This window comes from Homo sapiens, chromosome 3, assembly GCF_000001405.40.
Source record: "Homo sapiens chromosome 3, GRCh38.p14 Primary Assembly".
In the NCBI taxonomy this organism is placed as follows: domain Eukaryota; kingdom Metazoa; phylum Chordata; class Mammalia; order Primates; family Hominidae; genus Homo; species Homo sapiens.
In genome coordinates, this window is record NC_000003.12 from 101,960,885 (window position 1) to 101,978,465 (window position 17,581).

The following is a 17,581-nucleotide window of genomic DNA, read 5'->3' on the forward strand; positions in this document are numbered from 1 at the left end:
CCTTAAAATCTATTTTAACTATGTAGCAGACCCTCTTAATATTCTGCTCATATTTTCCTGTCACTTGCCATTGCTGTGCACACTGATGGTTTTCCTACTGCCATCACCAGTACTCCATTTGAGAGCTTTCTCTGGTAAGCTTGGTTCGTGTGCAGGGAAGGGAGGCTAAAGGTTCTGGGAAGTTGAAACACCAGTAGCAGTCCTCATCCAGTGACAGATGGAAACTGGAGGATAAATAACTCAGCTTCGTCATCTATTGGGTGGGACCACTGTGAGGGATATTCTGTATTATCTCTCAGAGGTCCTCAGCAGGGCTGACTCCCAGGTGTCCTTTGTGGTAACCTGCTCACTAATACCTGGCATTGGCTTCTTTCTCTTCCTTTTATCACCCTTTCCCCTTCCCAGTTCTCCTATTAGAGCTTCTTGTGATCACTTTCCAAATGAACTATGTGCTATGGTTTGAATATTTGTCACCTCCAAAACTCATGCTCAATTTAATCCCTAATGTAGGAATATTGAGTGGTGCAGCCTTTAAGATGTGATTGGATCATGAGGACTCTCCCCTCATGAATGGATTAATTCATTCATGGATTAATTGATTAATGAATTAATGAGTTAATGGATTAATGGGTTATCATTGGAGGGGAACTTGTGGTTTATAAGAGAGAGACCTGAGCTAGCATCTTAGTATGCTCAGCCCCCTGTCTGTGTGATGCTCTGCACTACCTTGGGATTGTGTAGAAAGTCTTCACCAACAAGAAGGCTTTTACCAGATATGTCCCCTTGGCCTTGGGCTTCCCAGTCTCAAGAACTGCAAGAAATAAATTCCTTTTCTTGATAAATTATCAAGTTTCAAGTATTTCATTATAAGCAACAGAAAATGAATGAATACACTATGTGTTCCTAAATATTTGTCTGAGGTCTGTATCAGAGAGAATCACAGATAGTTTTATGTTTTAGTGTTTGCTTGACATATCTTTTTCTATCTTTTTATTTCCAACCTTTCTATATCCTCTTATTTTAGACATGTCTCTAGTAAGTATATAGCATGTTTTGTTTTTTTTTTAATAATACAATAATTTCTCTTTTAATTGAATCATTTATTTCATTTCTATTTGATGCAATCACTGATAATCTTTGTTTTCTTCGCTCCCCTTTTGTTCTTTCTTAACTTTTGGTTTTATATTCATCTAATGTTTTCATTATTCAACTTCTCCTCCTATCAGCTTGATACTTACACACCGTCTTACTATTTTAGTGATTAGAGATTACCATAGCTATCCTCAATTTATCAAAATCAACTTTCCTAGTTAAAGCTGTGAGTCATTGTTCATAGCTGACATCCACAGTGGTGTGGGTTTAATTCCTATCAGCAGCTCATGTCAACTCTTTCTTTGCTTTCACTACAGTTTTCTTTTTACTTGGGTATAACTGACCAACAATGTTATGGGATCCTTAAAAGAGAGAGTAGTGGTGAGAATGGTAAGGTTGGAGATAAGGGGAGGTGTCATCATGGAATCAAAGAAACAGTTTTTGGTTTTTGGGGTCTTGGTGACATCACCTTTTTCTTTGCTCCTGGCCTCCCTAAAACCTCCCTTCTGTCTCACCCTTCCTGCTCTGTCTCCTGCTCTTTTTTTCTCTAGCTCTATGGTAGTTTACTAGGGCTGCTGGAATGAAGTACCGTAAGCTTGGTGTCTTAAACAACAGAAATTTATTGTCTCACAGAGCTGGAGGCTAGAATTCTGAAATAAAGGTGGCAGGGCCATATTTCCTCCTAAGATTCAATGGCAGAATATTTTCTTGCCTCTTCCTATCTTCCTAGCTTCTTCTGGTGGTTGCCAGCAATCCTTGCCATATCTTGGCTTGTAGACATGTTATTCCAATCTTTGCCCTCATCTTTATAGGGCATTCTTCCCTGTGCGTCTCTATGTCTCCTCACATGGCATTCTCATTGTGTGTCTGTGTTCTCATTTTCTTCTTCTTATAAGAATACCAGTTACTGGATTGGGGCCCACCCTAATCCAGCATGACCTCATCCTAACTTGATTACATCTTCAAGATCTTATTACCAAACAAGGTCACATTCTGAGGTTCCATGTGGACATAAATTTTGGGGGATGCTCTTCAACCCAGTACAAGCTCACTTACTCTGTAGAGTGCAGTAAAAGTAGCACTGACTTAGAAATTAGACATTCTAAGTACTAATTGTGCTTGTGCTACTAATTATATAATACAGACTTTGGAGTTCACAAGCAGGGGTTCAAATCTCAGCTTTGTCATTTAACTACCTTGAGCCTCAGAGTAGTAAAATCAAATGATTTTATTTTTGAGATTCAGCTTTCAAATTCTAGTCACTCCTTTGGGCTATTTCTTTTTCTTACTCTGCCATGCCCATCTAATCCCTTTCCTCTTTAACAACTTGACCTCTTAATTCCAGTTTTCTTCCTCCTTAATTCTCCTCTTTATCCTTTTCTTCCCACTTTAGAAAAACATTATTTCTTTTAAATAATAGAGACAGGGTCTCACCGTGTTGCCCAGGCTAGTCTCAAACTCCTGGGCTCAAGCAGTCCCCCAACCCTGGCCTTCTAAAGTGCTGGGATTACAGGCATTAGCTACCATGCCTGGCCTCTCCCCAGTTTTTTTCCTTACAACTAGGATGATATTCATCCTGGTTTGTCCAGGAACAATCCCAGTTTATGCCCATTGTCACAGTATAATTATTGATAATGCCCCCTTCTACTTTCAAAGCATTCTGGTTTAATGATGAGTTAAATGATTGCCCTACTTAGAGTGTTTTCATAACACTTAGACCTGCCTCTATCACTGCATGATTCACAATGTACTATGTTATTGTATTTTAATTGTTTTTTGGATTTGTCTCCTTGGTGGGATTTAGGGTAGTCACTGGGAATGATTTTCTTCATTTCTGCAGACTCCACCATATATACCTGGCATTGGGAGGAGCTCAGTCATGCTGCTTGGACATGGGAATGTTTTTGAAACCTTGCTTCTTTCATTTTGTGCATAGCAGGTGTTCAATAAATCATTTTTAATTGAAGTAGATAGCTGTCTATTATGAAAATGAGAAATGAACTTGACAAGAACACTGCTTCTTCTCTCTGCCCTCCTTTATTTGTCATCATTAGCTCAGAGATCTCATTTTACCTCCAGATTTGTGAGTCATTTCTTCCTCTTGCCTCACCCATAGCTATTTTAATTCTTTGAAAACTGGAGTTAGTTATCCTTTTCAAGCCTCCAGTGAGTGCTGCGGTGACCTGATTTCCAGTTGCTGGGTGCTTGCTTTGGGCAAGTGTACCTCCACGATTGAAATCTTCCCTCCACCCCGAGCTCCTGAGGCTCTCTCCACTCTGTCATCTGTTTCAGAAGCAGTTTTTGTACCACCTTGCTTTTACCTTTGAGGCCATACCCACTGTTGGTTACTTCATCCTGTGGCTATGTCTATACAAGTGAAATTAAGTGCATAATGAAGTCAATGGTGGGTTTAATTCAGGCCACTTTTGCCTGACACTTCTTTCTTTTGCTGTCAGCTCATCACCTCAGCACCCCCAACCCACTTATTGTTTGGAGGCTGGGATCTGCTATGCCACAGGAGTATTTTCTGAGCCTTGTCATTTACTTCAAATGATGGAAGACATTTTCTTTCTTCAGGAATTATGAGACCTAATCCACCTGGATTTAGCAAATGGGTTGTTCTTCCTGCTGGTTGCTAAAAACCATCACGTATTCAGTTTTCGACAAACAATTGTTGAGAACTTACTAGGTACAAGCAATAATACCAACACAATTATTGTCTTCAGGGAGTTCTCTAGAGGCTGCGGGCGTGCACTGCTCAAATCCACTTGCGTGAGAAGCTCATGAGGAGGGTAGTTAGCTGACAGTTTCCAGCTGCGGCCCCTCTGGCTCTGCCCCTGCATTCACGCTGACAAGTCACAGACTTCTGGGGATTCTTCTAGCTAGTAACTGAATGTGGTAGTTGTATGGTACCATGGTCAGGCTATTTCTGGCTGGCATGGGACTCCTCTAATGAGGAGTCTTTGCTTGAGGCCTCCTGGTCGGCCTGGCTCAGACTCAGTGCTGCAATGCCGTCTGACTCCTACTACCCAGTCCTCCTCCTTCCCTCCTATTCTGAAGGCCCTCCCTGCCCATGCTGGTTGCCCCTCCCCAAATCCTTCACAGGCGTTTCTCCCAAGAAATCTCCTGCATGACTAATTTTGTCTTGGCATCTTGTTCGTAGAAGAGTTGAGCTGACACAAGTTTCCAGTCCAGTATTGTAGATTAAACATGTGCACAAAGAACACAGCATACTCTTCATTATATTCCTCTCCAACATTAAGTGGTGAGATTAAAGTACAACAGGGACAGGTAATCTTAGATTGCGAAAAGAGGTATATTTTATATTTACCATAGTCTGTCATTTCCGAGAAGGCAAAGACCATGACCAACATAATTATTTGTTCAGGTGAACAGTTCTTTGTTCACTTGTCATGGGTGATAAGTAAAAGCACTTAAGAGAAGAAGAATAATAATAGTTGTGTAATTGTAATAATAATAATAATAATAATAATAATTTATTGAGGGCCCTGTCTCTGCCAGGCATTAGGTACTTTGTGTATCTTTTTTTCCAGTCTTCATAACAACCAAGCAAAGAAGGTATTGCTGTCATCCTCATTTTGCAGAAGAGGAAAGTGAAAAATGAAAGAGGTTAAATAGATTGCTCAAGGTTGTCCGGACGCAGTGGCTCACACCTGTAATCCCAGCACTTTGGGAGGCCGAGGTGGGAGGATCACCTGAGGTCAGGAGTTCAAGACCAGCCTGGCCAACATGGTGAAACCCCATCTCTACTGAAAATACAAAAATTAGCCAGGCATGGTGGCGCATGCCTGTAATCTCAGCTACTCAAGAGGCTGAGGCAGGAGAATTGCTTGAACCCGGGAGGTGGACGTTGCAGTGAATTGAGATTGCACCACTGTACTCCAGCCTGTGCAACACCACGCCTGGCTTAATTTTTGTATTTTTAGTAAAGATGGGGTTTTGCCATGTCGGCCGGGCTGGTCTCACACTCCTGACCTCAGGTGATCTGCCCACCTCTGCCTCAGATTATTCTTTTTCCTGTCTTAGAAAAAAAAAAAAAAAGATTGCTCAAGGTCACCCTGAAGCTAGTGAGTGGCTGTGCCAGGGTTTGGGTTTGTGAAGCTCTGATGCTCTTGAATTTCCCATGATACCATGCTCTGTCTTTAGGGTGATCTTCAGACTTAGGCCACATGGTAATCAGTCTGGGGAATTTGAGGAATATCCCTCCCAATGGGCTAGGGAGTCTATAGCCTAGACCAGATCTTAGTCCATGAGTTCTACATTCTTAATATTTCACAGTGTATTTTTAGGAACTTCTGAAAAAGAAGAATGATGTCTTCAAGATGGGCTTCTCCTTTTTTATTAGATCCTGTTGTCCAGAGTTGTAGAGCTAGAAAGTACCCTAGAAAAAAAGCCAGATACAAAAAGCCAATATGGTATGATTCCATTTATATGAAATTTCCAGAATAGGGAAGTGACTTAATGAGGGTGGGGTTTCTTTTTCGGGTAATGAAAATGTTCTGAAATTAGATAGTAGTAATGATTGCACAACTCTTTGAATATACTAAAAACCACTGAGTAAGTATAGTTTAAAAGAGTAAATATAATAAATATATATACAGTGTATTAGGCTTCCAGGCTCTCTTTAAGAACTCAAAAACTTGAGTTAGATAAAACTTCTTACATTACAAATGTTTAAGCTAAACTAAATTATGATTCATCTCTAGGCTTTTACCTTACTTCTAGAGGTCGAATGGCTTTCTTACTCTAAAATGGGTGCACACAGCTCACACTTCCAGATTATTTCTTTTTTATTTTTTGGAGATGGAGTCTTGCTCTGTTGCCCAGGCTGGAGTGCAGTGGCGTGATCTTGGCTTACTGCAACCTCTGCCTCCTGGGTTCAAGTGATTCTCCTGCCTTAGCCCCCTGGGTAGCTGGGATTACAGGCACGTCCACCATGCCCGAGTAATTTGTTTTTATTTTTATTTTTTATTATACTTTAGGTTCTAGGGTACATGTGCACAATGTGCAGCTTTGTTACATAGGTATACATGTGCCAAGTTGGTTTGCTGCACCCATCAACTCGTCATTTACATTAGGTATTTCTCCTAATGCTATCCCTCCCCCAGCCCCCCACCCTACGACAGGCCCTGGTGTATGATGTTCCCCTCCTTGTGTCCATGTGTTCTCATTGCTCAGCTCCCACTTATGAGTGAAAACGTGGTGTTTGGTTTTCTGTCCTTGTGATATTTTGCTGAGAATGATGGTTTCCAGCTTCATCCATGTCTCTGCAAAGGACATGAACTCATCCTTTTTTATGGCTGCATAGTATTCCAGGGTGTATATGTGCCACATATTCTTTATCCAGCCTATCATTGATGGGCATTTTGGTTGGATCCCTTTATTTCTTTCTCTTGCTTGATTGCCCTGGCCAGAACTTCCAATACTATGTTGAATAGGAGTGATGAGAGAGGGCATCCTTGTCTTGTGCTGGTTTTCAAAGGGAATGCTTCCAGTTCTTGCCCATTCAGTATGATATTGGCTGTGGATTTGTCATAAATAGCTCTTATTATTTTGAGATACATTCCATGAATACCTAGTTTATTGAGAGTTTTTAGCATGAAAGGCTGTTGAATTTTGTCAAAGGCCTTTTCTGTATCTATTGAGATAATCATGCGGTTTTTGTCTTTGGTTCTGTTTATGTGATAGATTATGTTTATTGATTTACATATGTTGAACCAGCCTTGCATCCCAGGGATGAAGCCGACTTGTTTGTGGTGGATAAGCTTTTGGATGTGCTGCTGGGTTTGGTTTGCCTGTATTTTATTGAGGACTTTTACATCGATGTTCATCAGGGATATTGGCCTAAACTTCCCTTTTTTTTTGTTTTGCCTTTGCCAGGCTTTGGTATCATGATGATGCTGGCTTCATAAAATGAGTTAGGGAGGATTCCCTCTTTTTCTATTGATTGGAATAGTTTCAGAAGGAATGGTGCCAGCTCCTCTTTGTACCTCTGATAGAATTTGGCTGTGAATCCGTCTGGTCCTGGATTTTTTTGGTTGGTAGGCTATTAATTACTGCCTCAATTTCAGAACCTGTTATTGGTCTGTTCAGATATTCAACTTCTTCCTGGTTTAGTCTTGGGAGGGTGTATGTGTCGAGGAATTTATCCATTTCTTTTAGATTTTCTAGTTTATTTGCATAGAGATGTTTATAGTATTCTCTGATGGTAGTTTGTATTTCTGTGGGATCAGTGGTGATATCCTCTTATCATTTTGTATTGTGTCTATTTGATTCTTCTCTCTTTTCTTCTTTATTAGTCTTGCTAGCGGTCTATCAATTTTGTTGATCTTTTCAAAAAACCAGCTCCTGGATTCATTGATTTTTTGAAGGGTTTTTGTGTCTCTATCTCCTTCAGTTCTGCTCTGATCTTAGTTATTTCATGTCTTCTGCTAGCTTTTGAATTTGTTTGCTCTTGCTTCTCTAGTTCTTTTAATTGTGATGTTAGGGTGTCAATATTAGATCTTTCCTGCTTTCTCTTGTGGACATTTAGTGCTATAAATTTCCCACTACACACTGCTTTAAATGTATCCCAGAGATTCTGGTACATTGTGTCTTTGTTCTCATTGGTTTCAAAGAACATCTTTATTTCTGCCTTCATTTCGTTATTTACTCAGTAGTCATTCAGGAGCAGGTTGGTCTGTTTCCATGTAGTTGTGTGGTTTTGAGTGAGTTTCTTAATCCTGATTTCTAATTTGATTGCACTGCGGTCTGAGACACACTTTGTTATAATTTCTGTTCTTTTACATTTGCTGAGGAGTGTTTTACTTCCAATTATTTGGTCAATTTTAGAATAAGTGCAATGTGGTGCTGAGAAGAATGTATTTTCTGTTGATTTGGGGTGGAGAGTTCTGTAGATGTCTATTAGGTCTGCTTGGTCCAGAGCTGAGTTCAAGTCCTGGATATCCTTGTTAATTGTTTGTCTCATTGATCTGTTTATATTGACAGTGGGGTGTTAAAGTCTCCCATTATTATTGTGTAGGACTCTAAGTCTCTTTGTAGGTCTCTAAGAACTTGCTTTATGAATCTGGGTGCTCCTGTAATGGATGCATATATATTTAGGATAGTTAGCTCTTTTTGTTGAATTGACCCCTTTACCATTATGTAATACCCTTCTTTGTTTCTTTTGATCTTTGTTGGTTTAAAGTCTGTTTTATCAGAGACCAGGATTGCAACCTCTGCTTTTTTTTTTTTTTTTTTTTTTTGCTTTCCATTTGCTTGGTAGATCTTCCTCCACCCTTTTATTTTGAGCCTATGTGTGTCTTTGCATGTGAGATGGGTCTCCTGAATGCAACACACCAATGGGTCTTGACTCTTTATCCAATTTGCCAGTCTGTTTCTTTTAATTGGAGGCATTCAGCCCATTTACATTTAAGGTTAATATTGTTATGTGTGAATTTGATCCTGTCATTATGATGTTAGCTGGTTATTTTGCCTGTTAATTGATGCAGTTTCTTCATAGTGTCAATGGTCTTTACAATTTGGCATGTGTTTTCAGTGGCTGGTACTGCTTGTCCTTTCCATGTTCAGTACTTCCTTCAGGAGCTCTTGTAAGGCAGGCCTGGTGGTGACAAAATCTCTCAGCATTTGCTTGTCTGTAAAGGATTTTATTTCTCCTTCATTTATGAAACTTAGTTTGGATGGATATGAAATTTTGTGGTGAAAATCCTTTAAGAATGTTGGATGTTCGCCCCCACTCTTTTCTGGCTTTTAGGGTTTCTGCAGAGAGATCTGCTGTTAGTCTGATGGGCTTCCCTTTGTGGGTAACCCGACTTTTCTCTCTGGCTGCCCTTAACATTTTTTCCTTCATTTCAACCTTGGTGAATCTGACAATTATGTCTCTTGGGGTTGCTCTTCTTGAGGAGTATCTTTGTGGTGTTCTCTATATTTCCTGAATTTGAATGTTGGCCTGCCTGGCTAGGTTGGGGAAATTCTCCTGGATAATATCCTGAAGAGTGTCTTCTAACTTGGTTCCATTCTCCCCATCACTTTCAGGTACACCAATCAAACGTAGATTTGGTCTTTTCACAGAGTCCCATATTTCTTGGAGGCTTCGTTTGTTTCTTTTCACTCTTTTTTTCTCTAATCTTGTCTTCTCTGTTTATTTCAGTAACTTGACCTTCAACCACTGACATCCTTTCTTCCTCTTGTTGGAATTGGCTATTAAAGCTTGTGTGTGCTTCACAAAGTTCTCATACTGTGGTTTTTAGCTCTATCAGGTCATTTAAGCTTTTCTCAACATTGGTTATTCTAGTTAGCCATTCGTCTAACCATTTTTCAATGTTTTTAGCTTCCTGTGATAGGTGAGAACATGCTTCTTTAGCTTGACGAAGTTTGTTATTACCGACCTTCTGAAACCTATTTCTGTCAACTCATCAAACTCATTCTCAGTCCATGTTGTTCCCTTGCTGGCAAGGAGTTGTGTTTCTTTGGAGGAGAAGAGGCGTTCTGGTTTTTGAATTTTCAGCCTTTCTGCTCTGGTTTCTCCCCATCTTCATGGTTTTATCTACCTTTGGTCTTTGATGTTGGTGACCTATGGATGGGGTTTTGGTGTGGATGTCTTTTTTGCTGATGTTGATGCTATTCCTTTCTGTTTGTTAGTTTTCCTTCCAACAGGCAGGCACCTCAGCTGCAGATCTATTGGAGTTTGCTGGAGGTCCACTCCAGATCCTGTTTGCCTGTGTATCACCAGCGGACGCTGCAGAACAGCAAATATTGCTGCCTGATCCTTCCTCTGGAAGCTTTGTCCCAGAGGGGCACCCACCTGTATGAGGTGTCTGTTGGTCCCTACTGGGAGTTGTCTCCCAGTCAGGCTACACGGGGTTCAGGGACCCACTTGAGGAGGCAGTCTGTCTGTTATCAGAGCTCGAACACCATGCTGGGAGAACCACTTCTCTCTTCAGAGCTGTCAGGCAGGGACATTTAAGTCTGCAGAAGCTGTGCTGCCTTTTGTTCAGATATGCCCTGCCCCCAGAGGTGGAATCTAGAGAGGCAGTAGGCTTTGCTGAGCTGTGGTGGGCTCCACCCAGTTCAAGCTTCTCTGCCGCTTTGTGTACACTGTGAGCATAGAACCGCCTCAGGCCTCAGCAATAGTGGATGCCCCTCCCCCTGCCAAGCTCCAGCATCCCAGATTGATGTCAGACTGCTGTGCTAGCAGCGAACAAGGCTCTGTGGCCGTGGGACCCACTGAGCTAGGCATGGGAGGGAATCTCCTGGTCTACCAGTTGCGAAGACCATGGCAAAAGCGCAGTATTTGGGCAGGAGTGTACTGTTCCTCCAGGTACAGTCACTCACGGCTTCCCTTGGTTAGGAAAGGGAAAACCCCCAACCCCTTGTGCCTCCCGGGTGAAGTGACGCCCTGCCCTGCTTCATCTTGCCCTCTGTGAGCTGCACCCACTGTCCAACCAGTCCCAGTGAGATGAACCAGGTACCTCAGTTGGAAATGCAGAAATCACCAGTCTTCTGCGTCAATCTTGCTGGGAGCTGTAGACCAGAGGTGTTCCTATTCGGCTATTTTGCTATTTTTATTTATTTACTTTTTTGAGACAGAGTCTCGCTCTGTTGCCAGGCTGGAGTGCAGTGGTGGAATCTCGGCTCACTGCAACCTCTGCCTTGCAGGTCCCAGTTCAATCAATTCTCCTGCCTCAGCCTCCTGAGTAGCTGGCATTACAGGTGTGCACCACCATACCCAGCTAATTTTTGTATTTTTAGAGGAGATGGGGTTTCACCATGTTGGCCAAGCTGGTCTTGAATTCCTGACCTTGTCATCTGCCCACCTTGGCCTCCCGAAGTGCTGGGATTACAGGTGTGAACCACCACGCCTGGCCTAATTTTTGTATTTTTAGTAGAGATGGGGTTTTGCCATGTTGGCCAGGATGGTCTCACACTCCTGACCTCAGGTGATCCGCCCACCTCTGCCTCAGATTATTCTTTTTCAAGGTTTTCAAGTATTCTGTTTGAATGGGGTGTTTAAGTCAAGTGGCCAATCAGGTTCTCAACTTTGGACTTGGTCCTGGATCTAGTTGTCAGACACCAGTGAAGCTCCAGTGACTGGGGAAAATAGGAAGACCTAGACAAGACTCCTGTTTTGATAGGTGGGGCTTGAGCAATTTCTGCCAATTGCTTAACATTGATTAAGACATCCCTGCACAGGGACATTAATTAAGACATTCTTGCATGTCTACCAGGAATCCAGGAGCTGCGATTGTACTGAAAGCTGATACTATGCAATTAGTTGGCTCCCACAGATGTGGGAACTTCCTGTTCTTGGTGGAGGTCAGAGAAGCTTTGCTTTTTCCTATAACTCCCTTGTCCCACCAGGTGTAGGGTGACTCTGCAGGGCTGGGCTCCAGACAGGGAGTCTTTCCATCCATCTTCAATCACTAGCTATAGGTGCCAGTTGCTGTAAAATTCTTGAATGAGTTGGTTGTGGTCTTTGTGTCTCAATTGTCCTAGCTGTAGAATGAGGTTAATGGCAATGGATCCAGATATTGTGCTTGTGTGAAGAGAAGTTTGAAGAGACCTTAGGATCCATTATGTCTGACACAGACTTAGAGACAGGAAGTGACATTGGCAGTTGATAGCAGAGCTGGGACTAAACCCAGGTCTCTAAATTCATAGTCTAAGGTCGTTTCCACTTTGACTTATTCACAAGCAGACATGTGATCACAGAAGAGGAAACCAAAATAGAGCAGGGATTGATTTACAAACCCAGAATGTTCTACTTGCTATATTATATCTACACCAATCCCCCAATCTTGTTTCTGTACTTTTTTTCCTCTGGATTTCTCTGTAGGCTGTTTTCTAGCCATTTTGGGGATAATTTTTCCAGATATTTCTCGTATTGAACCTCAAAATTCAATTTATTTCTAATCTATTCCACAAACACTTTTAAAAGTGTGTTCTAGGCATTGTGGTAGTAGGAGATGAAAGATGAATCAGACCTAGAACCTGCCCCTGAGGCATGTACAATCTAGAAGAGGAAACAGGCATCAATATTTGACAACACACAATCCTACTTACTACAATGAAAACATGCCAAAGGTACAGAAAAGAGAAAATGAGTGAGTAACTTCAGGGCATGGGGCATGAAAGGCAGGGAGATGGAAGTAGGATTCACAGAAGAGAGTGGCATCTAAATTGGGCTTGAAAGAAAAACAGCAATTAGAATAAAAAATTTGCTGATATGCTTTTACTTATTATGCTTCTATTCAAGCACTATTTATTGCATTTGGTGTAACAAAAATTGTATGACAAATGCTTCTAGAAGATGACAGATAGATAGGTACAAGTTGGAACTTGGCTTTCATACTGAAAAGCTCACCAGAGAAAGTTTAGAACTTAACTCAGATACTGTTTCCATAACATGCCATTGCCGAGGAGGCTAATTGCAAGAAGTGCTTTGCCTGTAGCCAGAGAAAAGATGGATATGACCATTATGTTTATTTCAAGGGCAGCAACAATATTGGTAATTAAACTTTTTCAAGCATTTACCATGTGCTGTACTTTTTTTTTTTCTTTTTTTTTTTTTTGATACGGAGTCTCGCTTTGTAGCCCAGGTTGGAATGCGGTGGACGATCTTGGCTCACTGCAACCTCTGCCACCTGGGTTCAAGCAATTCTCCTGCCTCAGCCTCTTGAGTAGCTGGGATTACAGGTGTGTGCCACCACACCCAGCTAATTTTTGTATTTTTAGTAGAGATGTGGTTTCACCATGTTGGGCAGGCTGGTTTCGAACTCCTGACCTCAAGTGATCTGCCCACCTCGGCCTCCCAAAGTGCTGGGATTACAGGTGTGAGCCACCGGGCCCAGCCCATGTGCTGTATTTTGTATATGTTACAAGCATCGTGTTATTTAATTCTCATAATAACCATATACAAAGTAGGTACCAGTATTACTGGTGGCTCAGAGAGGGAAAGCAATAACTTGTCTAAGGTCAGAGAACTAAAAAATGACAAGCCAGAATTAGAACCCAGGGGTTTCTAACTCCAGGGACTGAATTTTAACTCCTATCCTGACCCATGGTAGGAACAGAGTTGGATTGTAACCCAGAATTCATCTGGATCTGTTAAATCTCTGCATAGAAGTCCTAGCCATGAGAATATGCTAGGTCCATGGGGTTAGACTCATGAGTGAATACTTGCTGAGTCCCTGCTTAATACTGTATGCCCTGTAAGGAGTGCAGAGAAATGTGAGCTGATATCCTGGAGGATGAAACAAAACAAAGCTGTGGCCGTAAGAGAATAAGTGCCTGGCCTAAGGTCACATGGCTAGTGAATGAGACCCAGAACTTGAATGGAGGACTTTTAACATTGAAACTAGTGCTCTTTTATCTACAATCCTTCTAGATAGGCTTCGACATTTATGCATAGGAGAGTCGGCTCCTGTAGGACCAGAACCTCAAAAAAATCTTACACAACTTTTAGGGTCAAGGTTTATTATAGTTTCTTTTCTGACCTAGAACAGGCATTCACAAAATTTATAATAGTGGTGATGCCAGAAAAAGATGTTTTGAGACTGTGAGCCAGAAAGATTTCTAAGTCTCCCTTTGATGTGACCCCTTCTTTTCTTTTCTACTCTTCAATTCTGACCCATGAACTACTTGATATTAAAAAAGTCCTGCTACATAAACAGACACTTCTCAAAAGAAGACATTCACATAGCCAACAAACATGAAAAAAAGCTCAACATCACTGATCATTAGAGAAATGCAAATCAAAATCACAATGAGATACCATCTCACGCCAGTCAGAATGGACATTATTAAAAAGTCAAGAAACAACAGATGCTGGTGAGGTTGTGGAGAAACAGGAACGCTTTTACACTGTTGGTGGGAATGTAAATTAGTTCAACCATTGCGGGAGACAGTGTGGTGATTCCTCAAAGATCTAGAACCAGAAACACCATTTGACCCAGCAATCCCATTACTGAGTATATACCCAAAGGAATATAAATCATTCTGTTACAAAGATACCTGCACACGTATGTTCATTGCAGCACTATTCACAATAGAAGAGACACGGGCTCAACTCAAATGCCCATCACTGATAGAGTGGATAAAGAAAATGTGGTGCATATATATACCATGGAACACTATACAGCCATAAAAAGGAATGAGTTCATGTCCTTTGCAGGGACATGGATGAAGCTGGAAGCCATTATCCCCGGCAAACTAACACAGGAACAGAAAACCAAACACTGCATGTTCTCCATGTTCTCACTTATAAGTGGGAGCTGAACAATAAGATCACATGGACCCAGGGAGGGGAACAACATACACTGTGGCCTGTTGGGGGTTGGGTGGGGGAGGGACAGTATTAGAAAAAATAGCTAATGCATGCTGGGCTTTACACCTAGGTGATGGGTTAACAGGTACAGTAAACCACTATGGTACATGTTTACCTATGTAACAAACCTGCACATCCTGCACATGTACCCTAGAACTAAAAATTAAGAAAAAATGGGGAAAGAACATAAACAGATACTTCTCAAACCAAGACATACATATGGCCAGCAAACATGAAAAAATGCTCAGCATCACTAATCATTAGAGAAATGCAAATTAAAACCACAGTGAGATACCATCTCACACCAGTCAGAATGGCTATTAATAAAAATTCAAAAAACAACAAATATTAGTTAAGCTGTGGAGAAATGAGAATGCTTATATACTGCCGGAGGGAATGTAAATTAGTTCAGCCACTGTAGAAAGCCATTTGGAGATTTCTCAAAGAACTTAGAACTACCATTCCACTTAGCAATCCCATGACTGGGTATATATCGAAAAGAAAATAAATTGTTCTACCAAAAAGACACATACACTTGCATGTTCATTGCAGCACCATTCACAATAGCAAAGACATGGAACCAACCAAAATATCCATCAATAGTGGACTGAATAAATAAAATGTGGTACATATACACTAGCCACAAAAAATAGAAATACTACACAGCCACAAAAAAGTGAAAATATGTCCTTTGCAGCAACATGCATGCAGCTGGAGGCCATTATCCTAAGTGAATTAATACAGAAACAGAAAACCAAATATCACATATTCTCACTTACAAATGGGAGGTAAACATTGGATGCTCATGGACATAAAAGTGGGAACAACAAACATGGGAGATTTCTAATAGTGGGGAGAGAGGGAATGGGGCAAGTGTTGAAAAACTAACTATTGGGTACTATGCTTACTACTTGGGTGATGGGATCAATCATGACCAAAACCTCAGCATCACGCAAAATGCCCTTTTAATAAACCTGTACATGTACCCCTGAATCTAAAATAAAACAACATTATAAATAAAATAAAACAAAACGAGAAAAGTCCTGCTTAGCTAACTTTTGAAATCATGCTGGTACATATTCTTTCCATATTTCAACAGCAATATAACTATAGGATGAGCTAAACTAGTTTTCATATAGGGCAGAGTTTAAAATCTGTGGTTGAAAGATCTAAAATTGTATTTATCTCCTGACTTTAGGGAGAAAAATGAGTAACAGCTCTGGTCAACAAAAAAGAGTAAAAATTAGTTGAAAGATAAGCTAGAAAAGGAGGTTAGTATTACACAATATTCTGGAAAGCTGATGGGACAATTTGATTAATGTGTTCAGAGCTGTGAAGGCCTTTGTGAAAGCCATGACCTTATGTGGTCATGTAACACTATCATGACTGGAGTGTAGCCAAGACCAGCTTTAAAATTAGGTGTCTGTGATGGAGGGACTTCAGAAAGGGTTTCTAAAGAAAACCTTCTCTACCCCTGAAACCCTACTATTAGTTTCATTCTCCTGATTCTAAAAAATTTTTCGAGAGTTTTCTACTAAAACATAGTTCCTCTTTAAATTGGTAGCACATCATGCTCTTGCTTAAAATTTCAAGGCTGGCTAATAATTCATTTACCATTGTATTGTGTTATGAATTAATAGATTCAATTCTTGGACTATCAAGCAGGAATGGCTTCAAGTATCACTTAGTCCAACTCTTTCACTTTATACATGAGGGAATTGAGGCTGCAGGGGGTTAAGTGATTTGCCCAAGGTCCATTCCTAGACCAGGAATGAGAACTAAGGATTTCTTATTCCCATTCATGTTTTTGGAAGTTTTTTTTTTAACTTCTTTTATGAGACTACATACATACATACATATATACATACATATATATGTGATATGTATATATATGTGTGTGTTTTCTTTACAAAAATTTTTACAATATTAAGCCATAAATGGTAAAAAGATTAAAATCCTCTTTCTGCCTTTCCACTCCCCCACAGGGATACTGTTGGAACCTTTTCTGTACACATATGTACATGAATACATACATAACAAAATAATAAAATATAGTTTTTAATATTACTAGAGCTCACATTGCATGTATTGTTCTGCAGCTTGCTTTATCTTAAAAATGTGTATTTTATATACATATCACATATTTAATACATGTAAATATTGCATATTAAATATTTTATACGCATATTTTATGTACACATTAAATAATTACATGCTATATATGTATAAATCCAAAAGATTGAAAAGAAGTGAAAAGTCTCTCACTTACTACTTCAGTGTCTCAATCATGTAGTTTTCCTTGGAGTCAACCAGTGTTACCAGTTTCTTGTGTGACTGCCTACAGTTATTCTTTGCATATACAAGTCTGTAAACCCCTGCTTTCAAAAAACAAACTGTAGCATACTCTACATATTTATTTGCACCTTGTTCTTTTTAAACTTAATGTGTCTTGATGATTATCCCATACTAGCAGATAAAAAGCTTCCTCTTTTTCTTTTAATAGCTGTAGTAGTATAGTATGTCAGACAGTTGATACTAAGGCATTTTATAAATAGCATTGTGTAGTATTGCATTTTGTGAATTTCTCATCCTTTATTTAACCTGTCACCTACTGATTTAGTTTGTTTTCAATATTTTCCTATTGAAAAATTGTGGCAATAAAGAGCTTTGTATATAGGGCATTTCATGCATACTAGAGAACATTTATAGAATAAATTTCTGGAAGTGGCATTTCTGGATCAATTGTGTGCATTTATAATCTTGACAGTGAAACAATTAAAAATATGTCACTCTGGTATATTGACTATTTAGGTTAAAGGCACTTGAAAAACAGTAGGGGCAAAAAGAATACTCTGCTGTTTCTTAAAAGCAACAGATGAAATTTCCCATGAAAAAGATCCTCAAAAGCTGAGAAGTTGAGACCAAGAGAATTCTGTACAACCTTTTTTTTTTTTTAACAAGGCTTAACTCATCTTTTAAGCCTACCAACACAATTTAATTCCTTCTTTACAAATTACTGTTTTTTGCCTAATTTAATATATAAGCAACTGACTAACTACTTCTTTGGGTCTTCATTTCCTTCTGAGGGAGGGCTCCCCATGCCATGTCAAACTTAAATAAATAAATCTGTGTGCTTTTCTTCTG

At 40.1% G+C, this 17,581-nt stretch overlaps 1 long non-coding RNA gene across 1 annotated transcript in view; it reads left to right on the top strand.

Annotated features, from left to right (window-relative positions):
- The window catches only part of RDUR (RIG-I dependent antiviral response regulator RNA), a 57,068-nt gene that overhangs the window by 20,026 nt on the left and 19,461 nt on the right, over positions 1–17,581 (top strand). The window lies entirely within an intron of this gene.